Genomic DNA, 26,891 nt, shown 5'->3' on the forward strand with positions numbered 1-26,891 from the left:
ATGGAATCTAAGTGGAGTCAAGAACAGAATTATATTGAATCTTCATTTTAAAAGCTACGTGAGCCATATTTATTCTTTTAAAATGGAGCAAATATGTTCTGAAACCCAAAAAGAGGTGAGTTACTTAAGCAAGCCCAACATTAGGCCGGTAGTATCATTTCAGATGCTCATAGCCATCATAGGGACATAGAAGATATTCCAAAGTGATTTCTATCAATCCTAGTTTCCATTTCTCACCTGAACTTTCTACTCTCTCTTTGTAGACTTTGACTTTGGGTTGTGGAGGCAGACTGCTGGGTTTCCAATCTCCAGTCTGCCACTTACTATCTGTGGGACCTTGAGTGAATTACTTAGCATCTCTGTGCCTCAGTTTCTTGGTCTGTAAAATAATATGAAAACAGGGCCCCCACAAGTGGTAGCTGAGAATAGTAAATGAGTTAATAGATGTAAAGGAATTGGAAGAAAACCTGGCAGATAATGAGCACTCGACAATGTTAGCTCTTATTATTTAGAGGCCATGAATCCCTTAATTTTGCAGCTTCAAATAAAGCACTCACACAGACACAAACTTGCTGGTGATTTAAATAAGGAAACATAAATCAAAGGTAAATTTTAATTAAATCAGTTAATGGCACATGGATCAGTTGGGAAATGAGTTTACTTCAGAAATTATTTCTAAGAGTGTTCCTCATAAAACAATATGACCACATTAGATATATAGTTAAGGGAAACATTAAAAATATATAATGTGTAACCTTTCAATTTTCACTTAACAGCTGCCTTTATATTATTATTATTCAAAGTGATTTTTAGATAAGGGGACTTATGAATGATTTTCTCAAAAAAAATCGATACCAGTTTGATCAGTCTTGAGGATACTGGGTCATAGCAACTACCAGTACTCAGACATTGGGGAATTGTTCAGGGAAAAGGCAGCAACTTTGAAGTATCCTCAAGAATAAGAAGGGCATGTTGAAACAATTAATCATAAACAAGTCATTCAAATTAAAAGTGTATTCTTAAATAGTTTCTTGATTAAGAACAAATGCCTCATTAATCTGGAACATATTGACTTGAGAACACAAGTAAAGTCAAAGAGAGTAATGACTGACATGACGTGGAACACAGCATGCTGTGTGTTCCCATCACAAAAGCTTTGGAGGAACAGATTCCACAGAAGGTCACTGGAGACAGTGAACTGAAGAGAAAACCCAGCATCACCCAATGACGCAAAGGTAAATTTTTAAAAATCTAGATTACAGAGAACATTGGGTACCAGTAGCACTGACACTATTTCCATCTATAGATTCTGAGTTCATTTCATTTATTTCAGGCATGCAAATAAGTCTAAACCCAAGATCTAAAAAATAAAAAATAAAGATATATCTAAAAGAAATAGGCATCTAATTTTAAAGAAACTTACTGTCCTCCCCCGACTCCCACTTCCCAAGTGTTAGTTAAGAATGTGACTAGAAGTTAAAAACCAACGAAAATAGCTTTGAAGAAAATTCTAGTATAATTATTAGATGATACTAGATTGGATATTCTTTGGATCACACTAAAGCTACATTTCTTAAAGGAGTATATATAGTACCTAGTAAATATAATAATAAATGTGAGATGTGCATAAAAATCACACACATAATTTTTAAAAACCGATCAGACATTAAATGCCCATAGGAGGATGACTCTGCAGTTTTTAAAGATTAAATCTGGTTTTGGAATAGTCGTCAAAATATGTGTCATATTCTGAAAGGCTTTATAATTTCATCTTCTAGAAGGTAAGCTTCATGAGGAAAGGAACTTTTTCCCATCTTGACCACTACTATATCCTCAGAACAGTGCTTAGGACATAATAGATACTCCATATGTATTTAATGAATAAGTAATTTCAACAGTGGCTGAAATTCTAACCTGGATATATCTGTTGTGATTCTAGTTTTAACAATTGGCCTCAGGACTTTTTCTTGCAGTTGGCCCCTTATCCATGCCCCCTCACACCTTCCCTGTACTCAGCCCCTGTACTCAGCATGACTTCCACACAGATGTCTGCTTATAATGAAGAGAAAGAAAATCTCCATGAAAGATTATAAATGGTTGGGATGAATATTATGTGCAAAGAATTTCCCAAATTCCATTATCTAAAGTATGGCACAAAAAATTACCATCATCTTTCCAATACTAGAATAAATTCTTCTGAAGACAAAATTTAACATAATTTATAGAGTCAGATTCTAGATATGACTATATTATTTTTACTTAAATAACATACTCATTTCAAACTTCAAGACAAGGAAAAGAGAATTTTTTTCTAGAAAGAAGAAAGCAGCGTAATGAGAAAGAAGGGAAAGTAGAGTTCTACCACTCTAAGTAGCTATAATCAGACTTTGTTTTCAGCAATGTTTAAACCTCATCACTCCCAAAGTTTTAATCTTGACAGCAGGATAGCAAAGGAAAATATTGGAACACAACCAGGACTAGAACATTTCTTATTTCTTAGATCTACACCCAGCTTGTGCTGGAATACAAATTACCATAGCCTCTGCTCATGAAAACAAATAATCCAGTTAGAGGTACAAGGCTAGCAAACAAGACACATAACTATATACTGCCTTATATTCACTCATGTACTAAATTGTGTGGAACAATTCCTAAATGTTACACAGCCTAGAGATGAGAGGTAATTCTAGCATCTAGCACAGTGTCCAGCACATATTAGACATGCAATAAATACTTGATAAGTAAATGAAAGCTTGAATGAGAGAATGAATAAATAAGTGCTTTTAGAAGAGGTGAATCTTGTTTAGAATCCTGGAGAATGATGCTAAGCACTCGATTTGTATCTTCCACAAATGACATTTCAATGTTTCCTACCTCTCTGTCTTCTCCCACATGATAGAAACTGTATCAACCTTGTGCAGAAAACAAAAGAGAAGCAAGAAAATCCAATTGTTTTCTTTTTTTTTTTTTTTTCTTTTTGAGACGGAGTCTCGCTCTGTAGCCCAGCCTGGAGTGCAGTGGCGCGATCTCAGCTCACTGCAAGCTCCGAGAAAACCCAACTGTTTTCTTAATAATATTGGTAGTCTTGGAGACTTGACCCGAAAAAATTATTCAATAGGGCTGATTGTCCATAGGTCTGTAGTTTATAATTAAATCTGTTTACAATGGGAATACTACATCATAATGCAACCAGTAACAAGCCCATCAGAGTTAAACACTTGCTAGAATTATCATTATAAATCCCTGGTTTCGATTATTCACAATTAGGTTGTAGAAGTTTTATTTTTTCTTTAAATATAATCATAAAGTTCTCATTTGGGATATATATATATCCTAGAAATTTTCTAACTATAATGTGTGCTGCTCTTAGGAATTTTCAAAGAAAACAATGAGAACAATTTTCAAGAAAAATGACTAAAACAAATTTTAAAAATTCTTAAAATCAATCCAAAGAAACTTTGCAAATCTCGGCCAGGCGCGGTGGCTCACTCCTGTAACCCCAGCACTGTGGGAGGCCGAGGCGGGCGGATCACGAGGTCAGGAGATTGAGACGATCCTGGCTAACACGATGAAACCCCGTCTCTACTAAAAATACAAAAAATAAGCTAGCCATAGTGGTTGGTGCCTGTAGTCCCAGCTACTCGGGAGGCTGAGGCAGGAGAATGGCGTGAACCCCGGAGGCGGAGCTTGCAGTGAGCCGAGATCGCGCCACTGCACTCCAGCCTGGGTGACAGAGCGAGAATCCGTCTAAAAAAAAAAAAAAGAAAGAAACTTTGCAAATCTCAATCTCTATATCAAGGTTTTCCCCCTAGAACTCATGTCTCTACAGTTCTTTTGAATTATTTCAGAATCTGTAAAACCCCATGAAATAAACTCATATAAGAGCAATTCACTGTGTCTAGGAAACTGTATCCAGTAAGGGTCCTTGGCATACCAGGGAATATATTGGGCTTGGAATTAAGAAACTTGGGTTTACTTCTACTCCTAATTAACTGGTTAAACTTCAACAGGACCCTTTCACTTTTCTGGGCCCCTTCCTTATTTATTGAATTAGGGTGTTGGAATGGATAATCCATAGGTTTTCCTAGCCTTAATTAAGGATGGGAGCCAGTTGTCAATACAGCATAGTTAGGTATTAGAAGCAATTATAATTAGAACTAAAATGCCTCTGCTCATATCTGAGTTCTCTTCTAGGTCTTGTCCCAGGCACATACTTTATTTCTCTACATAATGTTTTCCTCATCTATAAAAAGGGAGTGATAACAATACATATCCCATGAGAGTTCATCATGATTAAATGAAATATAGCACATGAAGCACTCATCGTAGAATATGGCACCTATCAGTACTCAATGTTAGTTGGCAGTATTATGTATCTATAACTTTTTTCAGTTTTCAGAAAGGACTGGGAGAATGAAGTCTTATCATTGGATGTCAAGAAATCCTTCAGCCAGTTATTAAATTTGTTTACAGCTGGCAGGCCTGCAACACCAATAATCAAAGTATCCTTGTATAGGATTATTCAATAGGGCTGATTGTCCATAGGTCTATAGTTTATAATTAAGTCTACTTACAATGGGAATACCACATCATAATGCAACCAGTAACAAGCCCATCAGAGTTAAATACTTGCTAGAATTCTCATTATAAATCCCTGGTGCAAACTCTTTTTTGCCTTTAATTCTTTTGAAGGGATCCCAGGTTTCAAAGTCTGTATCCCTTTATGGTTATAAATCCCCAACATTTTAGTTCCAAAACCCATAATGGGCTAAAAATTAAAACCTGTTTGGGCTGAGTGCGGTGGCTTATGCCTGTAATCTCAGCACTTTGGGAGGCCGAAGTGGGCAGATCACCTGAGGTCAGGAGTTCGAGACCAGCCTGGCCAACATGGTGAAACCCCATCTCCACTAAAAATACAAAAAAAAAAAAAAATTATCTAGGCATGTTGATGCACACCTGTAATCCTAACTACTCGGGAGGCTGAGGCACAAGATTTGCTTGAACCTGGGAGGTGGAGGTTGCAGTGAGCCGAAATCATGCCACTGCACTCCACCCTGGGCGACAGAGTGAGACTCTGTCTCAAAAACCAAAACAAAAAGAAACCTGTCTGAAGCGTTGGCAGAAAATTTAAATTGTTCTTCATACTTTTGAAAGTAGGGGAGAAAAAGAATTAGGTCTCAGCAACATCTATATCTTGAAAATAGCCTTAACATGTAACATCAGAAGCAAGCAAAAGAAGAATTTGATCTACAAAACCTGGTTTTGGTAATCCATTCAAGTCAGCATTTTAATGGGGCTATGTACATTTTCCGAAATGCTTGCCCACTTCTGGCCATGCTTCACTAATACCCAAGTCACCAAGCAGACAGCACTATCTAACCAACAACTGGGGCCCTCTGGTAACCAGTGTCCCTGTACCAGTAACACATGCTGCCAAAGTTCTAGGGCTTCAATCATGATAATAAAAATTAATAAAAAATTGAGCATCCCAGAGCAACACAGATAGTTTTATGAGGGAGACACAGGGCTAATTTAATAAGATGGAACTTATTAAATTCCAGGATGTAAAAACCCTGGATCCTATATTTCAAATTGTTTCTCAGTATTGAGTGTTATCCAGCATGCATCAAGCATTTAAAGGGTGAGATGTGATTACCTTCTTTCTCAAAATGCAGAAAAGCCTTTGTTAAGGAAATCATTTCTACAACCTTCTTGGTAATAGTAAGAAATTTAAGGTGTCTGTGCTTGTAGCCACTTCTGTCTAAAGAAGCATGTTGTGTGAAAGGTGATCCATCCCATTTCCTGGCCACAGCTGACTGGATGTGGGGAAAACAATGACCCACCAAATGGCTCATCCACAGATAAGACAGCAATCTGTGACTCCTGTGGCCTAGCCAATCAGATTCTCCCTCTTAGGAATCAGTTCTAAGAGATTCAAAGGGCTATGTCCAATGAACTGTTTTCCTTTCATGAAAGGAAAGTTTGAGGCTGAAGCCATGAAAAAATCAGGATAGGTGCAGCCATCTGGGCTCTGTGAATAATGAATGAATCAGCAGAAGCAGTCAGTTAGGATAGAGAGAGTACTAGAAAAAAAGCAGATTAAGAGGAAACATCCAAGACCAGACACAGTGGCTCACACCTGTAATCCCAAACCTTTGGGAGGCCAAAGCAGGCAGACCATTTGAGCCCAGGAGTTGGAGACCAGCCTGGGCAACATGGCAAAACCCAATCTCCACTAAAAATACCAAAAAATTAGCTGGGCATGGTAGCCAGTGCCTGTAGTCCCAGCTACTCAGGAGGCTAAAGTAGAAGGATCACCTGAGCCTGGGAAGTTGAGGCTGCAGTGAGCTGTGATCCCACAACTGTATTCCAGCCTGAGCAAAAGATCAAGAGCATGTCTTAAAACAAAACAAAACAAAGCAAAAATTAGAAAAACATAGCCCTTGAAAGAGACATCTTGAGAGATGAGTCAGTTTTGAGAGAAGGGCTGATTCAGTTCTGTAGGTTTGGTGTTCAGTTTGATCTGGATTCCTGTGAGACCTCGTTCTCTCACTTAAATTAAACTCCTTGAGCTGGCCTTCTTCCTTATGACTTAAAAAGCCCAATTCAAACACTTCTCTTTCAGTAATACATTCTTTTTTTCCACTGGAATTTGTTAGTATTGTCTTTCCAAAGCTTTGGATAACATAAACATTGGCTTAAAAGTCATTTTTTAAAATCATTTCAGCCATTTGGTGACCCTAAGAGAGTACACATACTTTTATAGGGTTTCACAGAAATTCCAAGACAAAGGATTAATGTATTGTTTCTGTGAGTTTCTATTCAATTCAAATTTTATAATTCAAAAATTTTAAGTTGTTATCAACCACAGTAAGAATTATAAGAATGCTATCTATAATTTTAAAGAGAATGTTTTGCACTAACAACTGAAACATTTATTGAAAAGAAATTTTTATCGGTCTTATAGGGCTTTTGTGTGAATTTAGCAAAGTTAGCATGTATATAAGGCACAAGTACCATCGGAAAAGTTCTAAAAAGAATTAGTTATGTAGTTATTTCATATCCACAGTGCAAGGGCAAGGTTGAACAGAACTTTTCTCCATATAGTTGCTCAAACTGCCCAGTGATTTTCTTTCTTTCTTTTTTTTATAGTGCTTTGTTGAAATGGTTTAAGGGCTCCACTGACTGAAAGTTAACCCCCAGTATGCATTGGCTGCTGAGTGTTTTTTGTTTTACTCACCGGCCCTTGAGTACCGTGTTTAATTTCCACACCACAGTAATGTGAATGATCTAGGTAATCTCACATAATGGTTTGCTATAGGACACCCAAACCTTCATCCCAGGAATACTTGGAACAAGATGAAACAAGATGAGTCACTTGTGGTGAAGCCACACTAACCATGCTGCCAGGGTCTTACTGTACTTTGCTTCTGGAAGGCCTCATTAAGCAAAGGTGCCAAGTTACATGCTTGATGAGGAGATTGATTCTTGAGTCCTTCCTTACAACCAGAGTATCTGGGTAAGAACCAAAGACCTCTGAGTGGAACCTATCAAAAGTCATGCATAAGAGAGCCACAGGGTAAGAAGAAGTGAAATTTGAAGGGGACTTCCGGTGACCTCATCACCTATAAGAAAGAAAAGTCTAGTAGTTCTGTTCTTGGAATACTTGTTCTGTTAAGATTTAGCAAAACAGTTTGACCAATAGATTTTTAAGGTTTCTTGCTGGTTCTTAAGCCATAAGACTGCAAACAAACTCTCCTAAGGTCAGACATGTTGAGGTATTTATGCTACAGTCAAAAGGGTTGCTTATGCCTTGCTTAATATACGCATAGAGAGATCGCAAATTACATCTATAATTTTCCATACAACAAATCAAATTTGGCCCATAAATAAAGAAGTCAACTTATGAAAGTTACAAAAGAAATTTGTAAAGTTTTAGAACTACTAAAATTATTGGATCCAGAAAACCGAATGTAATTCCACACTGAGAATACTCGATGTATCACGTGTTTCTGGCTTCAAATCATGTGTCACTGAAAACAAAGAAAGGAGGTTTTTAAAATTATGTTCCCGGTTGTAAATATTTGCAGATTGACATGATTTCTCTTTCTAGTTATTTTTTTCCATGTAATGGATGAAACACTATCTTTTTCCTTCTTTATTCATGAAACTCCAATGTCATCAAGCCTCAGTTTGTGACTGGAATGAAGGCACATTAATATATGCCCACAAAGTTACAGACTTCTTTCTGCTCCCTGCTTCTAGAAAACCTTAGGATTGGAAGAGTTTCTCCCACCACCCAAGAAATTCTGGCACGTTCCAGAGAATGACTTTGCTGGTGAAGAGACAGCTGGTTGTGCTGGTATGAATACGTCTGGTTTTTTGCCATGGTTCATGGGACATAAGGGGTCTAAGTCCACTGATCATGAAGAATATTACCGGCCGGGTGGGGTGGCTCACACTTGTAATCCCAGCACTTTCAGAGGCCGAGGTGGGGCGGATCACGAGTTCAGGAGATCGAGGCCATCCTGGCCAACGTGGTGAAACCCAGTCTCTACTAAAAATTAAAAAGTTAGCTGGGCGTGGTGGTGCATACCTGTAATCCCAGCTACTCAGGAGGCCGAGGCTGGAGAATCACTTGAGCTTGGGAGGCGGAGCTTGCAGTGAGCCGAGATCGTGCCACTGCACGCCAGCCTGGGGACAGAGCAAGACGCTGTTTCAAAAAAAAAAAATAATAATAATATTACCTTATCCAGGACAGCTCCTGGTGTCCCCAGTGCTACACAGCAATGTGGCACCATCATGGCACTGTCTTTCCTTCAATCTTCCTTGCTGTGCACATGCTGGATTCCATCCAGAAATCAGAAAAAATATGTCTAGCTCCTGAATTCACAGGACTCAGAACTATTCATTCACCCCTTCCAGGAAGTCAATACCATATTATCCTCTGCATTTCCTACATTCTCATCTCTCAGAGCCCTATCGGGCCTTCAGATATAAAATGTTCCCTTTCTCCTCTCTTCTTCCTTCTCCAAATGTAAATCAGGCATGCAAATATATGCCTGGGAGAATTGCCGAATCCATAAAGCTGTTCTCAGTTTAGGCTAAGCAGAGATCACAGTCTATATCTACATTTGCTCTGTTGGAACATGAGATTACAATAGTTAATAAAGATGAGATACAGAGTAACCTTTACACCTTAGGCTTTTGTATTTTTCAGTAAGAAGAATGTCACAGTTCTTCCTAGCTTGCCAAAGAAATTGAATAAAAATGTACTGAACTAGGAGTAAAACTTTGTGCTGGCTAGGTAAAATGACATGTGATATTGTTCACAGGAAATAATGGAAAACAGAAAGATTTTCCATCTTGTCAAGCAGATGGAATGGGCTTGGATAGAAAGAAGAGAGGAAAATGATAGAATAAACACCAGTTGTGAACTCTGCTAAGAGAACTGGTAGGTTTTATATATTAAAGAGATGGGCTAAAGTGGTTTATAAGAAAATGTAATGTATTTTACTAGTGTAATTTTACGTCATCTGGTATTATACATGGCATATAGAGTGCAAGAAATTTGCAAGTGGGAAAACTGAGGTTTTCAATAGAAATATTGAGTTGGCTCATGAGCCTGGATGCACTACAAAATAGTGAGATGACTCGGGAGCAACTCAGGCCGAGGAGTGACCCACTTGAAGACTGGCAAAGTGGGAGCTGAGACAGAAGACAGGAAAGTGGATGCTTGAATGAAGGTCACAACAGCCATAAAGAAAAGAAAAGGCAGAATATCTATTGAAAAATGACGACTCCATTGACAGAAAGAGAAAATTAATTTAGAAGACAATTTGTGTGCTCTGTAAATCTTCAGTTGTCACAGCAAAGAGGAAAGTTTTCTCTGTTCTTTTTTTTCTTATTTTTTTTGTGGGTACATAGTAGGTGTATATATTTATGGGGTACGTGAGATATTTTGATATAGGCATACAATGCATAATAATCACATCAGGGTAAATAGAGTATCCATCACCTAAGCATTTATCCTTTCTTTGTGTTACAGACAATCCAATTATACTCTTTTCGTTATTTTCAAATGTACAATGAATTATTGGTGACTACAGACACTTTGTTGTGCGATCAAACACTAGATCTTATTCATTCTATATAACTATATTTTTGTACCCATTAACCATCCCCGTTTCCTTCCCTCACCCCCACCCTGACCTCTCTACCCTACCACCCTTCCCAGCCTCTGATAGCCATCATTATACTCTGTTTCCATGATTTCAATTGTTTTCATTTTTATCTCCCACAAATAAGTGAGAACATGCACATTTTATCTTTGTGTGCCTGGCTTATTTCACTATACATAATGTCTCCCAGTTCTATCTATGGCATTGCAAATGGCAGGATCTCATATTTTATGGCTGAATATTACTCCACTGTGTATATGCACTACATTTTCTTTGTCCATTTGTCTGTTGATGGACACTTAGAATATTTCCAAATCTTGGCTATTGTGAATAGTGCTGCAAAAACATAGGAGTGCAGATAGCTCTTTGATACACTCATTTCCTTTCTTCAGGTATGTATAGAGCAGAGGGATTGCTGGATCCTATGGTAGCTCTATTATTAGTTTTTCTGAGGAAACTCCAAACCATTCTCCACAGTGGTTGTTCCAATTTACATTCCAACCAAAGGAGTACAAGAGATCCCTTTTCTAGCCATTCTCATCAGCATTCATTATTGCCTGTCTTCTGGATAAAAGTCATCACAACTGGAGTGAGATGGTATCTCATTGTAGTTTTGACTTTTATTTCTCTGATGATCAATGATGTTAATTAAGCATCTTTTCATATTCCTGTTTGTCATTTGTGTTTCTTCTTTAGAAAATGTCTATTCAGATCCTTTGCATATTTTAAAATCAGATTATTACATTTAATCCTATTGAGTTGTTTGAACTCTTTGTATGTTCTGGTCATTAAGCCCTTGTCAGATGGGTAGTTTGCAAATATTTTCTTCCCTTCTGTGGGTTATCTCTTCACTTTGTTGGTTGTTTCTTTTATTGTGCAGAAGCTTTTCAACTTGATGTGATCCCATTTGTCCATTTTTGCTTTTGTTGCCTGTGGTTGTGGGGTATTACTCAAGAAATCTTTGCCCATACCAATGTACCAGATAGTTTACCAAATGTTTTCTTTTAGTAGTTTTAGAGTTTGAGACCTTAGAATTAAGCCTTTGATCCATTTTGATTTGATTTTTCCATAGTGATAGGTAGGGATCTAGCTTCATTCTTCTGCATATGAATATTTTGTTTTCCCAATGCCATTTATTGAAGAGGCTGTCCTTTCCCCAATGTATGCTTTTGGCATCTTTGTCAAAAATGAATTCACTGTAGATATATGGATTTATTTCTGGGTTTTATCTTCTGTTCCATTGGTCTATATGTCTATTTTTATGCCAGTACCTTGCTGGTTTGGTTACTACAGTTCTGCAGTATAATTTGAAGTCAGGTAATGTGAGTCTTTTATTTTTGTTCTTTTTGCTTAGGATAGCTTTGGCTATTCTGGGTCTTTTGTGGTTCCATATAAATTTTAGAATTATTTTTTCTATTTCTGTAAAAAAATATCATTGGTATCTTGATAGAGATTACATTGAATCTATAGAGTGCTCTGGGTAGTATGGACATTTTAATAGTATTGTTTCTTCTATTCCATGAACATAGACAATCTTTCCATTTTAGTGTGTCCTCTTCAATGTTTTGCATCAATGTTTTATAGTTTACATTGTGGAGATGTTTCACTTCTTTGCTTAAGTTTATTCCTAGGTTTTTGTTGTTGTTTTGTTTTGTTTTGTTTTTGAGATGCAGTCACGCTCTGTCGCCCAGGCTGGAGTGCAGTGGTGCCATCTCGGCTCACTGCAAGCTCCGCCTCTGGGGTTCAGGCCATTCTCCTGCCTCAGCCTCCTGAGTAGCTGGGACTACAGGTGCCCGCCACCACATCTGGCTACTTTTTTGTATTTTTAGTACAGATGGGGTTTCACCATGTTAGCCAGGATGGTCTCCATCTCCTGACCTCGTGATCTGCCTGCCTGGGCCTCCCAAAGTGCTGGGATTATAGGCGTCAGCCACCGCACCCGGCCATTCCTAGTTTTCTTTTTATCTTATTTGTAGCTATTGTTAAAGGGATTACTTTCTTGATTTCTTTTTCAGATTATTCACTGCTGTCAAATAGAAATACTACTGATTTTTTATGTCGGTTTTGTATCCTGCAACTTTACTAAATTTGCTTATCAATTCTAATAGTTTTTATGGAGTCTTTAGGTTTTTCCCAAAATAAGATCATGTTATCTGCAAATAAGGATAACTTTACTTCTTCCTTTTCAATCCAGATGCCCTTTATTTCATTTGTCAAATTTCTCTAGCTAGTGCTTCCAATACAATGCTGAATAACAGTGGTGAAAGTGGGCATCCTTGTTTTGTTCCAGATCTTAGAGGAAAGCCTTTTGGTTGTTCCTCATTCGGGAGAAGACTAGCTTGGGTCAGTTGTATATGGCTTTTATTGTGTTGAGGTATGTTCCTCCTATATCCAGCTTTTTGAGAATTTATATCATGAAGAGATATTGAATTTGATCAGATGACTTTTCAGTAACAATTAAAATGATCAGATGGTTTTTGTTCTTTATTCTGCTGATATGATGTATCACATAGGTTGATTTGTGTATCAACATCCTTGTATCCCTGGGATAAATCCCACCTGGTCATGATAAATGATTTTTATTAATATGTTGTTGAATTCAATTTGCTAGTATTTTGTTGAGGATTTTTGCGTCAATGTTCATCAGGGATATTGGCCTATACATTTTTTTTGTTGTTGATGTATCTTTGTCTTGTATTGATTTTAGCATAACACTGTCCTTGTAGATTTAGTTTGGAAGTATTCCCTCCTCCTCTACTTTTTGAAATAGCTTGAATCAGATTGGTATTAGTTTTCCTTTAAATGATTGCTAAAATTCAGCAGTGAAGCCATTGGGTCTTGGGCATTTCTTTGCTGGGAGACTTTTTATTACAGCTTTGATCTTATTACTTGTTGCTGATCTGTTCAGATTTTGGATTTCCTCATGATTCAATCTTGGTAGGCTTTATGTGTCTAGGAATTTATCCATTTCTTCTAGACTTTCCAATTTATTGGCATATAGTTGCTCATAGTAGCCTCTAATGATCCTTTTAATTTCTGCAGTATTAGTTTTAATGTCTCCTTTTTCATCTTTGATTTTATTTATTTGACTCTTTTCTCTTTTTACTTAGTCTAGCTAATGGTTTGTTGATTTTGTTTATCTTTTCAAAAAGCAACTTTTAATTTCATTGAACTTTTGTATTTTTTGTTTCAATTTTATTTATATCTGAGCTTTATTATTTCTTTTTTCTAGCAATTTTGGGTTTGTTTTTTCTCTTATTTTTCTAGTTATTAAAGATGTATTATTAGGCTGTTTGAAGTTTTTCTACTTCTTTGATGTAGACACTTATAACCATATATTTCCTTCTCAGTACTGCTTCTGGTATGCTTTTTGATATGTTGTGTTTCCATTGTGATTTATTTCAAAAAAGTTTTTAATTTCCTTCTTTATTTCTTCATTGACCCATTGGTCATTCAGGAGCATATTTTTGAATTCCCATGTGTTTGTATAGTTTCCAAAACTCCTCTTGTTATTGATATCTAGTTTTATTCTATTATGGTCAGAGAAGGTGCTTGACATTATTTCCATTTTTAAAAAAATCTTTTAAGACTTGTTTTGTGGCCTAACACACAGTCCATTCTTAAGAATGATCCATGTGCTAAGAAACCAAATGTGTATTCTGCAGCTGGAAAAAAAATTGTTCCGTAAGTGTCTGTTAATATTAGGTCCATTTGGTCTAACTGCAGACTAAGTCCAATGTTTCTTACTTTATTTTCTGTCCACATGCTCATCTAATGCTGAAAGTGGGCTGTTGAAGTCTCCAGCTATTATTGTATTGGGGTCTATCTCTCTTTTTAGCTCTAATAATATTTGCTTTAAATATCTAATTGCTCCAGTGTTGGGTGCATATATATTTACAATTATTATATCTTCTTGCTGAATTGACCTCTTTATCATTACTTAATGAGCTTTTTTGTCTCTCTTCATAGATTTTTTTCTTGAAATCTATTTTATTTTATATAAGTGTAGCTAGTCCTGCTCTTGTTTTGTTTTCATTGGCATAGAATATCTTTTTCCAACCCTTTATTTTCAGTCTATATGTATCTTTGTAGTTAAAGTATCTTTTTTGTAGGCAACAGATTATTGGGTCTTGCTTTTTAATCCAGTTAGTCACTCTATGTCTTTTGAATGGAGAGTTTAGTACATTTGCATTCAATGTTACTCTTGATAAGTAAGGATTTACTCTTGCTGTTTTGTTGTTTTCTGATTGTTTTGTGGTCTTTTATTCCTTTATTCCTTCCTTCCTATCTTTCTTTAGTGAAGGTGCATTTCTCTGGTGGTATGTTTTAATGTCTTGCTTTTTATTTTTTGTGTGTTTGTTGTAGGTTTTTTTATTTGACATTATCATGAGGCTTGCAAGGAATATCTTATAACCTGTTATTTTAAACTGATGATAACTTACCACTGATTATATAAACAAACTAACAAGCAAAAAAAAAAAAAACCTTAATAAAAAGTCTACATTTTAACTTTATCCCTCCTTTTTAACTTTTTGTTGTTTCTATTTAGTTCTTATCATAATGTCTATGTCTTGAAAAGTTGTACATCTTATTTTTGACAGGTTCATCTTTTGGTCTTTCTACTCAACGTATGTGTAGTTTGCACTCCACAATTACAGTGTGATGATATTGATGATATTTTGTCTTACTGTGTCCTTGTCCTTCTTTTTTTTTTTTTTTTTTTTTTTTGAGATAGGGTCTCACTCTTCCAGGCTGGAGTGGAGTGGCTCAATTTTGGCTCACTACAACCTCCGCCTCCCAGGCACAAGCAATCCTCCCACCTCAGCATCCCAAGTAGCGTGAACCACCACACCTGGCTAATTTTTGTGTTTTTTTTTAGAGATGGGTTTTGTATTTTTAGTAAGATGGATTTTGTGTTTTATGTAGAGATATTTTTTGTAGAAATGGGTTTCCTCATGTCTCCCAGGCTTGTCTCAAACTCCTGAGCTCAAGTGATCCTCCTTTCTTGGCCTCCCACAATGCTGAGATTACACCATGCCTGGCCTGTACTTACTATTAACAGTGAGTTTTGTACCTTCAGATGATTTCTTACTGCTCATTAACATCCTTTTTATTTGAGATTGAAGAACTCCTTTTAGCATTCCTTTTAAGACAGGTCCAGTGTTGAAATCCCTCAGCTTTTGTTGGTCTAGGAAAGTATTTCTCCTTCATGTTTGAAGGATATTTTCACTGGATGTACTATTCTAGGATAAAAGTTTTTTCTTCATCACTGTGAATATGTCATGCCACTGTCTCCTAGCCTGTGAAGTTTCCAATGAGAAACTTCTCTGCCAGGCATATTGAAGCTCCTTTTTATGTTATTTTTTTCCCTTGCTGTTTTTAAGATCCATTCTTTATCCTAGACCTTTAGGAGTTTGATTATTAAATGTTTTGAGGTAGTCTTATTTTGATTAAGGTGTTCTATAGCCTTCTTGTACTTGATTATTAGTATCTTTTTCTAGATTTCAGAGGTTCTCTGTTCTTATACCTTTGAATAAACTTTCTATCCCTATCTCTCTTTCTATCTTCTCTTTAAGGCCAATAACTCTTAAATTTGCCCTTTTGAGGCAATCTTCTAGATCTTGTAGGCATACTTCATTCTTTTTTATTCTTTTTTCTTTTGTCTCTTCTGACTATGTATTTTAAATAACCTATCTTCAAGCTCACTAATACTTTCTTTGGCTTGATTAATTCTGCTGTTAAAAGTCTGATGTACTCTTCAGTATGTCGTACTCTTCAGTATGTCGATTGCATTTTCAGTTCTAGAATTTCTGCTTGATTCTTTTTAATTATTTTAATTAATTTGTTTAATTTATCTGATAGGATTCCAAATTCCTTCTCTGTGTCATCCTGAATTTTGTTGTGCTTCCTCAAAACAGCTATTTTGTTGTTTTTGTCTATTTTCTTTTTTTGAGACAGGGGCTCACTCAGTCCTCCAGGCTGAAGTGCAATGGTGTGATCATGGCTCAATGCAGCCTCTACCTCCCAGGCTCAAGCAATCCTCCTGCCTGATCCTCCGAAGTAATTGAGATCACAGACATATGATATCACCATACCCAGCTAATTAATAAAATTTTTTTTGTAGAGATGGGGTCCCACTATGTTGCCCAGACTGGTTTGAAACTCCTGGGCTCAAGTAGTCCTCGTCTCACCCTCGCAAAGTGCTGGAATTACAGACATGAGCCACTGCACCCAAACAAACAGCTATTTTGGATCATCTGTCTGAGAGTTCACATACTTCGGTCTCTCTGGACTGGGCACTGGTGTCTCATTTAGTTTGGTTAGGTCATGTTTTTCTGGGTGGTCTTGATGCTTGTGGATGTTCATTGGTATCTGGGCATTGAATATTTAGGTATTTATTGAAGTCTTTACAGTCTGTGCTTGTTTTTACCCATCCTTCTTGGAAAGCTTTCCGATAATTCAAAGGGACCTGAATGTTATGATCTAAGTCTTTGGTCACTGTAGCCATGTCTCCATTTAGAGGACATCCCAAGGCCAGTAGCACTGTGGCTCTTGCAGTCTCATAGATGTACCACTTTGGTGCTCTTGGGTAAGATCTGGAGGAATTCCTTGAATTACCAGGGAGAGACTCTTGTTCTCTTCCTTACTTTACCCCAAACAAATGGAGTCTCTCTCTCTTCCCTTACTTTCCCCCAGACAAACTGGGTCTCTCTCTCTTTCTCTGTGCTGACCTGCCTAGAGCTGGAGGAGGGGTGACACAAGCACCCCTGTGGCCACCACCACTGATACAGAACTGGGTCAGACTTGAAGCCAACACAGCACTCGGTCTCACTCAAGGCCCACAGTGACCACTGCCTGGCTACCGCCTATGTTCACTCAAGGCCCAAGGACTCTACAATCAGCAGGTGGCAAATTCAGCCAGGTTTGTGTCCTTCCCTTCAGGGCAAGGAGTTCCCTGGGGCCCTGGGCAGGTCCTGAAATGCTGTCTGGGAGCCAGGGCCTGGAGTCAGGAATCTTAGGAATCTACCTGGTACTGTATTCTACTGCAGCTGAGCTGGCACCCAAGCCACAAGACAAAGCTCTTACCACTCTTCTCCCCTTTCCTCATGCAGAGGAGTGTCTCCCAGTGGCCACCACTGCCCCAGGCTGGTGGTAAGTAATTCCTGGTTACCTCCTATGTTGACTCAAGGCCCAAGGACTCTGAAGTCAGCTTGTGGTAAATGCTGCCAGGCCTGGGTCTTTCTCTTCAGGGCAGTTGACTCCCCTCTGGCCCAGGACTTGTCCAGAAATGCCATCCAGAATCCAAGGCCTGGAATCAAGGACCCCAGGTGCCTGCTTGGTGCTCTATCCCACTGTGGCTGAGCTGGTAACCAAGCTGCAAGACATAGTCCCCTTTACTCATTCCTCTCCTTTTCTTAAACAGAAAAAAAGTCTCCTTGTGGCCAATACAGCTGTAAATGTGCTAGGTCACACCTGAAGCCAGCATAGCTGTGAGCCGAACCCAAGGCCTGCAGTGAGTACTGCCTGGCTTCCACTGTTGATTATTCAGGGCCCAAGTGCTCTTTAGTCAGCTGGTGATAAATCCTGCCCATTCTGAGTCCTTCCTGTCAAGGCAATGGGTTCCCTTCTGGCAAAAGGTGTGTCTACAAATGTCAACAGGGATAGGGCCTGGAACGAGGGGCCTCAGGACTCTGCCTGGTCCCCTGTTCTACTGTGGTTCAGCTAGTACCCAAGTTGCAAGACATAGTGCTATTTTCTCTCCCCTCTCCTCTCTTCAAGTGGAGTCTCTCCTGGAGCTGTGAGCTGCATTACCAGGGTCTGGGGGAGGGGTGGCTCAAGCACTCCCTCGGCCTCCCCAGCTGGTGTCTCACTAGATTGTATGCATCCCAAGTCCACTGCTCTGAACCCAGCACAACATCAGGACTTGCCCAGGAATTGCAGTCCTTGTGGCCTAGGCTACCTTTCAAGTTTATTTAGGACCCCATAGCACACAAAGTGGTGGGGTTTGCAGGAACTCAGGTTCTGACCACTGGAATGGATGATTTGCCTCTGGCTAGGGCTGGTCTAAATGCTCCGTTTCGTGGGTACTGGCTGATTTCTGCCCCCTTTTGCTTTCTGCTATAACAGGGTAGCACTGAGTTCCAGTGCAAAGTCCCACAATCAATGCATTCTCCCTCCCCAACGTGCACAGATTCTCTCTCCAAGCCACATGGCTGCTACCAGGCAATGTGGTAGGAGCGGCATTGGCAATTCAAGACTGCCTTTTCAAGACACAACAAAAAAAGAAAATTTCAGGCCAATATCCCTGATGAACATTAATGTGAAAATTCTCAATAAAATACTGGCAAACTGAATCCAGCGGCACATCAAAAAGCTTATCCATTACGATCAAGTCGGCTTCATACCGACTTGCCTCCAAAGCTTGCCTCCAGCTTTGTTCTTTTTGCTTAGGATTGTCTTGGCTATATGGGCTCTTTTTTGGTTCTATATGAAATTTAAAGTAGTTTTTTTTTCTAATTTTTTGAAGAAAGTCAATGGTAGCTTGATGGGGATAGCATTGAATCTATAAATGTCACATCCGTTGCACGGACATGAATGAAGCTGTAAACCATCATTCTCAGCAAACTAACACAAGAACAGAAAACCAAACACCGCATATTCTCACTCATACATGGGAGATGAACAATGAGAACACATGTACACAGGGAGGGGAATACCACACACTGGGGCCTGTCGGGGGTTGGGGTGCTAGGGGAGGGATAGCATTAGGAGAAATACCCAATGTAGATGACCGGTTGATGGGTGCAGCAAACCACCATGGCACGTGTATACCTATGTAACAAACCTGCACGTTCTGCACATGTACCCCAGAACTTAAAGTAAAATAATAATAATAATTTTAAAAAATACTGCCTTTTCTACCCTTTTCAGGGCCTCTTCCTTAGTAGGATGTGAAAACCAGGTACTATAATTGCTCACCTGATTTTTGGTTCTTATGAGGGTGGTTTTCTGTGTGGATAGTTGTTCAACTTGGAGCTCCTGCAGGGGGAACAAACAGTGGAAGCTTCTATTTGGCCATCTTGCTCCACCTCCCACTGAAAAGTATTTTTATGCTAAGCAATTTGAAAATATTTAGATGAATAATTTTTAAATAGAGGAAAATCTCTACTCTGAAATCCAAAGTCTTCTGAGTCCATTCTGTTTTTTGTCATGCTAAAAATATGAGGCTTACATATTTTTTACACAGGCCAAATTCTGCTCAGTTAAATACAGCAGATTGTTTAGATTGGTATCTTAAACACAAACTAGATAATCTGGTTCCGTTGCTTCCATGGCATCTGAATTGGTGTCATCCTCTTTTTCAGAACAAATATCTAAGGATGTTTCCAAGGCATCACAATATTATATTGGCCTAGTTAGAACAGAAGTGTCATCTCTAAATCTCACACGTGTGTGTGAATGCAAGCACCCTTACTGGTAGAGAACCAGGAAGTCCTTGGTCTGTAAATACCCCAAGAAAGAAAACCACTGCTAGCAATATTATAATGCATAAACTAAGCATGATATTTTTAAATATAATTCACACATCCAAGTGTGTGTTGCTGCCTTTACAGTATCCATTTGGGAAGTTGTGCATTTATTCTAATGAGATTGGCATTGTTCAAAACATGATCTGGAGTTTCTTTTCAACAATGATCTTAATTGTCTGTGGCACATATTTTTGACTGTCCATATGGTAAAGTATCTTTATCTTTTGTGTGTAAACTTGATTTCAAAATAACCAAAAGTAAGTCAGAAGTAAATTTTAAGAACAAGAAAGACAATTAAATTGGGAAATCCCATAAACAGGTAAGGTGGGTACTGAAGAAGATTTATCTGGATGTATTTACCTTTTGTGAGTTATTAATTTTGCTATACCTCATACAGTCAAGTCTTCTTTGAGACAGTTTTGTTGTCTTTACCTTCAGAAGTTATATTAGGTTGGTGCAAAAGTAATTGTGGTTTTTGCCATTAAAGGTAATGTTATTAATAATATCCTGAATTTTACTCTTGACAAAAAGCATAGGTTTTATATTATCTGTGTATATGAGAATGCATGAATGTGTGTATTTTCATAACAAAATGGAAGCAAAAATTCTATAGAATTCAATCTTTTATATTTAGCAAAAACAAATATTCCATATATTGTTTAATTCAGCATTGAATAATTAAGCAAAATACTTGCAATTAACTTGCACATAAACTTCTTAAAAGATATCACATCAAAATATGAGATTTCTTTAAGCTATGTCTTCAATATTTTATGCAAAGATCTGTTCTGAAAGATGCTTTGGCAAGAATTTTAATAATCTATAAATTTTTTTCTTTAATCTTTATAATAATCTTTATATAATAACCATATTATTTTTGTTAAATATTTTTCTCCTTTTCAAAATATTGTTTTATAAGTTCTCATGCTCTTTAATTACAATTAATATTTATAAATTTTTTCTATGATTATCTGTATGAGAAATCTTTGATAGCAAACACAGTAAAATAATGTTTTGCCTTAAGTTTTAGAAACTGAAGTTGTTATAAAACCATTCTATTAGGATTTAAATTATATCACGCCAGCCAGACTTATTTATGCAAATGTTTTCTCCCTACCACTGTGCTCATTGAGAAGGACTGCTGACCCAGGTGTTTTGTAGCTTTTAAAATAATTGTTCAATATGATATTAGGTTGTAGAATGTGGTCACAAATTTCTCAAGTCTAGAGAAGTCCATTCCAGAAGTCTAGCAGGTCTATTCCACTGACTCTCAACTTTATTATGCTTATGCTTGACTCTTATGTCTTTCCTATTTAACTTATTTTATAAAATGTAGAACATATGTTTTGAAAGTCAAACCATACCAAAGTCAAACCTGGTGGGAGTGCTACAACTGTAAAAAGGTGGAAACACTCAGTAAGCAGTCAAAGTTTGGCATGGAAATAGACACGGCTGCAATAAGGTAGTGGACTTATGGGCTAAGTTTCCTTGCTTTCATACTTGCATGTAGTGTAGCTAGTTTCCCAAAACACATAAAAGGAAGTCATTTCTCTGTGAAGTGGTCTTTAGAGGAGGGTTTTTCTACTTCAGCATTATTATTTGAGACTGGATAATTCTTTGCTGTGTGTGTGGATGGGGGTGGGAGGGTTGCTGTGCTGTGCGTTATGAGATGTTTAGCAGCATTGCATCCGTGGTCTTTGTCCATTAGATGCTGTTGACATCCTTCTTCCCAATTGTGGCCACCAAAAGTGTTTCTAGACATACCCAAATGTCCACTGGGGGAACAAAACCCTCGTTCCTCACCATTTTCCCTCCTCTGTGGTTGAGAATGACTTCTCTAGATTACCATTTCAAGATTTAGCTTAAGTTTCTGACAGTGGTGTTACAGAAGGCCATTTTCATCATTGTCATTTATTATTTCATGTTAGTTTAGTGGTTTACTACAAGTAGCCTAGGGTCAAGGAAATATATCCAGTTCATTTAATAGTATTCTTAATCAACTATGTTCCTAAGTTCTTATGTTTCTTTTAATCTATGAACCTATGTTCCTACTGTTGCCTGAAAGATTCACAAGAGGAAAAATGTACTGAGTATAGACAATAAAAAATTTAATGTGGCCAAATATAGCATATATTTAACATTGTAAAGCATATCTCAAATATTTGCAGCATTTCATGGCAACAAAAGCTGCTATAGAATAAGTGGGTCAGAATTACCATCAGGGAAGTAGTACCCAAAATATCTTCCGACTATTATAGGCCAGGCCAAAGCAAAAAACAGCTCAATTAGATTTGGGAGGCATTCCTTCCAGGCTGCTAAAGTATCACCAGTCAAACAGCATTCACAAGAAACACAGGTCTGAGATAACCAAGTTAGTGCTCTAATAAGACTTCAAATGCTCTGAGAACAAGCTTCACTGTATTTTTGCTCACAGAAGTTTCACATCTATCCTTGCTCAGGCCTAGGATTTTAGTCGGCTAGCAGCAAAAGAAGATGAACTTGAAATTTCACTTCAAGAAGTATTAGGCTTTATGGAATATAAAAGTAATTCAGAAGCATAGAAAACCATGAATAATAAACAAACTCTGATAGAAAATAAATAAAGGAACTCAAGGAATTGCCTTCCAATATCCTTGGCAACCAGAGAAGCAATCAATGAGTTTTAAAACTCCCATATACATATTTGGTGCTCACAAATACCTGAATAATAAAGACGATTATCATGCAGAGTGACAAAGTACAGATAAACACACTCCAGCTTTGCAAGTACAAAACCAGTTAAAACCAGTTATTCTACTCCTGACGTTTAACAAGTAGAGCTTTACACATATACTAAAAGCCACAGTGAACTGGGTGAAAGTTTGTTGGGCCTGGGGAGTGGGAAACTGGCTTAGTAACACCAGAGTCATCTCAGTGTGTGACCCCTGGCAAACCATGCTCCTGAGAAGACAGCAGAAGGAAAAGGTTGCTTTACCAAAGGTTAGAAATACAGGAATATAGAGTGCGTGAATGCAAGCTATGTGACTTATGTAGGCTTTTACATACCAAAGCTGCTTCCAAAGTCAGTAGGAGAGGCTGGTCCCATCAGCTGGATAAGCACAGCAAAAATTAAGATGGTTTGATATCCACATCTCCAGTTGCTTAAGTTGTTTACTCTGTTCCCTCTGAATCACATCACATCTTATTTTCAACTGAAACATGGAAACCTTTCTGGCCTAATACTTCTTTTCCAAATAATATTTATTTTCATGTGGCATTAATCTTTTTTTACTAATTATTCTTGGGTGCAGCATATTTTGTAACCACCTAAGCACACACTGATCCAAAGCTGAATATTATAAATAGTTATAATCACATTCATCAAAAAGTTCAAAGTGAGAGTGGGCTAAAAAATAAGTAGGAGTCAGAAAGAGAGAGTAGGAGATTGGGTAAAATGATAAAATAATGAGAAAAAGAAATAATTTCTATGTATCAGGTAGGAGAGAGAAGCTATTTCCTAGGGCTTTGGGGGAAATGAATTTCCCACACCAAAGGTGGAGTAGATTGAAAAACCGATAGATTGCTCTTCACTCCTTCACTGAGGTTCTGAAACTGTAGGCATTGAATGCTGCATTAAAGATACATGTGCATCTTATTCCTCATAAGTAAATTACATTGTTTTATTACTATGCTGTGTGGCCCAAAAGGCAAGCAATAATTTTTAGTGGCTGAGAAGAAACTAGTTTCACAAACAAGGGGCACTTTGAAAAAACAAATGTACTCAAAAAGACAATGTTGCTCTGGGCTTTATTTAGAATTAAATTCCAGAACTCACTCAAAACTGCAGAACCAGTACTCAAATTTGGTACCCCTTTTGCTCATCCTTCCTAAAGTCACCCTTCACACACAAATCTTTCCACCCTCCTCTCCAGGCATTTTAAATAGCTGCAGGATTAGAAATTGCAAAACAGATGCCTCCGGCCAAAAGCACCAAGTTTTGCTGATAAATTTTCCTGAAATCACACAAATGGAAAAAACGGAAGTCAGAAGTGTACATTTTATATTCAGCAGCTAAAGTCTGAAATCTCAGGTTATAAGTAAATTATTTTGTGATTAAATCCTAATCTCATCAATTTAAAGAACCAAAAACCCAGCTCAATAATCCACCACAATCTTACCTTGAAAATGTGGTTCTCTTATTTGAATGTCTTCTTCCAGTACTAATTCGATTTCTTTTCCTGAAAATTCTGCCACATGGTGCTACTTTCGGACATTTAATATATTTCATTTATAATTACTCTCACGTGTAAATGGTATCTTTAAATAATATGTGCAGGAGTTCTTAATAAGTTTTCACAACTCTCCTTATAAAGCAAAGCTATTCATTTTTAGAGAGTTTGAACGTTTTGGTGTTAATTTGATAAATAACAGCTATTGGACAACTGAAGAGAATAACCACTCACAGGCAATCTTCTCTTTGTACTTGATTTTAAAATATTAATATTTCATTCATGGTGTCTTCTCAAATTAAATTTCTCAGGGTTACTGGACCTCAGATACTAAAAGGACAAAGAAAAGGGACAGATGAGAACAGCTACGAAGCGATAGTGAAAACATATGGTGTCCATCTTGTAAGCATAAGGCTCCCTGGTATTGCTGCCACTCTCCCTGTGCTCGGGAAAGCTGGAAGAAGCCAGTAGGCAATCTGGTGTCTCGTCAGAAGAGTGCCAGAAACAGGTGTTGCTGACCTAACCCTTTCCTCCTACCACAGATTCTCTTGGTAAATCCTACACTCGTTACCATAGCATTGCTTTCAAACACACTTATCAGATGAAAACCAAGTGTTCCAAAATAACAGTTTATATGGAGTCAAAATGCTGAAAATTGCTGTGATTGGTTTTTTCTTTCTCTTTTTTTTTTTCAGTTTTTAGAATCGGGTAATTTTAAAATTACAATAAAATGCACACATTTTAAGTGTTCCCTGCGTGAGTGTTGATGGTTGTATACACCGATGTAGCACCACCCAAAACAAGATACAAAACGTTTCAATCACTCCAGAAGTTTTCCTCCTTCTCCTTTTCAGTCAAACCACACTGTACTGATTTCCATTGCCATAGACAATTTTGCCTGTCTTTGAACATAATATACTGTATATATTCTTTACATCTGGCTTTTTTTTGCCAATATATATTTTTAAGACTCATTCTTACTGTTGCATGTTATCACTAGCTCATTCCTTTTCATTACAGAGTAATATTTAACTGTATAAATATACCACAATTTGCTTACTCATTTTCTAGGAAATGGATATTTAAGTGTTTCCAGATGTTCTTGGAACAGTCTCATATAAGACTTTGTGTAGACGTATGTGATCATATCACCTGGATAAATACCTAGGAGTGGAATTCCTGAGACACAATATGTTTAACTTTTAAGAATGTGGCAAACCTTTCCCCACAATCGTTGTAATATTTTACTCTACTGACTTGTTAGTATTTATCTTTCTCCATATCCTCATCAATATTTGGTGCTGTCAGTCTTAGCCATTCCAGTGAGTGTGAAATGCTAACTCATTATGATTCTAAATTGCATCTCTCTGACGACTTATGATGTTGAATAGCTTTTCAGGTGTTCATTAGCCTCATCCTATGTAGGACATCTTATTCCCAAATTTTCTTTTGCTAAGTGTCTTTCCAGACTTTGGCCCATTTTTTACTGAGCTGTTTATCTTTTTATTGTTGACTCGTAAAAGTTATTTATATATTCTGGATATGACCTATTCATGAAAAATAAGTGATGAGAATTTTCAAAGTCTGTCGATTGCCTGTTCACTTTCTTTTAATGAGCAGAAATTAAATTTTATTGAAAATCAAATATTCTTTGACAGGTGAAATGTTTTTAATTCTAATACATTTTTGCATACCCCAGGGTTACAAAGATATTATTTATTTTCTTCAAAAAGCTTTTTGATTATAATGTTTATATTTAAGTTTATGATCTATTTCTACGTAATTTTTGTGTTTTGGGTGAGGTAAGATCAGAGATCATTTTTTGTTTTCTAATGGATAGCCAATCTTTCTTGCATCATTTGTTTTTTTTTTGTTTGATTGTTTATTTTGGTTTTTTTGAGACGGAAGCTCACTCTGTCGCCCAGGCTGGAGTGCAGTGGCGAGATCTCTGCTCACTGCAAAATCCCTGCCTCCCAGGTTCCAGCGATTCTCCTGCCTCAGCCTCCGAGGTAGCTGGGACTACAGGAGTCCGCCACAGTGTCCGGCTAACTTTTGTATTTTTAGTAGAGATGGGGTTTCACCATGTTGGCCAGGCTGGCCTTGAATTCCTGACCTCAGGTGATCTGCCTGCCTCAGGCTCCCAAAGTGCTGGGATTATAGGCATGAGCCACCGTGCCCGGCCACATCATTTGTTTTAAGAAAATATTTTCTTTATTAATCTAATTTGCCACTCTGGTCAGATATCAATGTATGTTTGTATGTATGTATCATATACGTGTGTATATATCACATATATCTGTATGTGCCAATTTCTGGATTTTGTATTCTGCTTCATCAATCTATTATTTCGCCAACATCATATTCACTTGATTACAGTGACATTGTATTAAGTCCTGAAATCAAATAGTGTAAATCCATCAACTTTGTTCTTCTTTATCAATATTATTTTGGTTAGTCTAGATTCTTTGCACTTTCTAACTCACTTCAAAAGAGCCTGTTTCTAGGTATTTTGGGTTTTTGATGCTATTGTGGACAATATTTTAAATAGCATTTTATAGTTGTTTATTGTTAGTAATTAGAAATGCAATTGATATTTGAATATTAGCCCTGTGTCCAGAGACTGCTAAATTCACTTATTAGTTCTAGTAGTTATTTGTTTGTGTGTGGATTACATGAAGTTTTCTTTTTTTTTCTTTTTTTGAGACGGAGTCTGGCTCTGTTGCCCAGGCTGGAGTGCAGTGGTGCGATCTCAGCTCACTGCAAGCTCCGCCTCCCGGGTTCATGCCATTCTCCTGCCTCAGCCTCCCGAGTAGCTGGGACTACAGGTGCCTGCCACCACACCCGGCTAATTTTTTTTGTATTTTTAGTAGAGACGGGGTTTCACCGTGTTAACCAGGATGGTCTCGATCTCCTGACCTCATGATCTGCGCACCTCGGCCTCCCAAAGTGCTGGGATTACAGGCGTGAGCCAC

The 26,891-nt window shown here is 37.6% G+C and overlaps 1 long non-coding RNA gene across 1 annotated transcript in view, besides 4 other annotated features; it reads right to left on the reverse strand.

Annotated features, from left to right (window-relative positions):
- Positions 1-24,366, reverse strand: part of ASMER1 (adipocyte associated metabolic related lncRNA 1) — a 101,831-nt gene extending 77,465 nt beyond the window's left edge. Inside the window, exon 1 of the long non-coding RNA NR_146322.1 lies at positions 23,869-24,366. This is a non-coding gene — a long non-coding RNA (adipocyte associated metabolic related lncRNA 1). The remainder of the gene's footprint in view (positions 1-23,868) is intronic.
- Positions 827-2,026: an enhancer, noted in NCBI's record as "CDK7 strongly-dependent group 2 enhancer chr21:16267450-16268649 (GRCh37/hg19 assembly coordinates)". NCBI's record gives its function as "activates an origin of replication core promoter dependent on BRD2, BRD4, P300/CBP, MED14 and CDK7 cofactors, with strong dependence on CDK7, by STARR-seq in HCT116 cells {active_cell/tissue: HCT116}" and the evidence as "EXISTENCE:reporter gene assay evidence [ECO:0000049][PMID:35650434]".
- Positions 7,533-7,712: an enhancer, noted in NCBI's record as "active region_18287". NCBI's record gives its function as "activates an Ori minimal core promoter by ATAC-STARR-seq in GM12878 lymphoblastoid cells {active_cell/tissue: GM12878}" and the evidence as "EXISTENCE:reporter gene assay evidence [ECO:0000049][PMID:35858748]".
- Positions 16,704-17,463: an enhancer, noted in NCBI's record as "H3K27ac hESC enhancer chr21:16283327-16284086 (GRCh37/hg19 assembly coordinates)". NCBI's record gives its function as "activates a minimal SCP1, AML or CMV promoter by ChIP-STARR-seq in naive and primed H9 embryonic stem cells {active_cell/tissue: H9 hESC(naive and primed)}" and the evidence as "EXISTENCE:reporter gene assay evidence [ECO:0000049][PMID:30033119]".
- Positions 17,464-18,221: an enhancer, noted in NCBI's record as "H3K27ac hESC enhancer chr21:16284087-16284844 (GRCh37/hg19 assembly coordinates)". NCBI's record gives its function as "activates a minimal SCP1, AML or CMV promoter by ChIP-STARR-seq in naive H9 embryonic stem cells {active_cell/tissue: H9 hESC(naive)}" and the evidence as "EXISTENCE:reporter gene assay evidence [ECO:0000049][PMID:30033119]".
- Positions 24,367-26,891: the final 2,525 nt, after the last annotated feature.

The sequence above is a fragment of the Homo sapiens genome, chromosome 21, assembly GCF_000001405.40.
Source record: "Homo sapiens chromosome 21, GRCh38.p14 Primary Assembly".
Taxonomy (NCBI): Eukaryota; Metazoa; Chordata; class Mammalia; order Primates; family Hominidae; genus Homo; species Homo sapiens.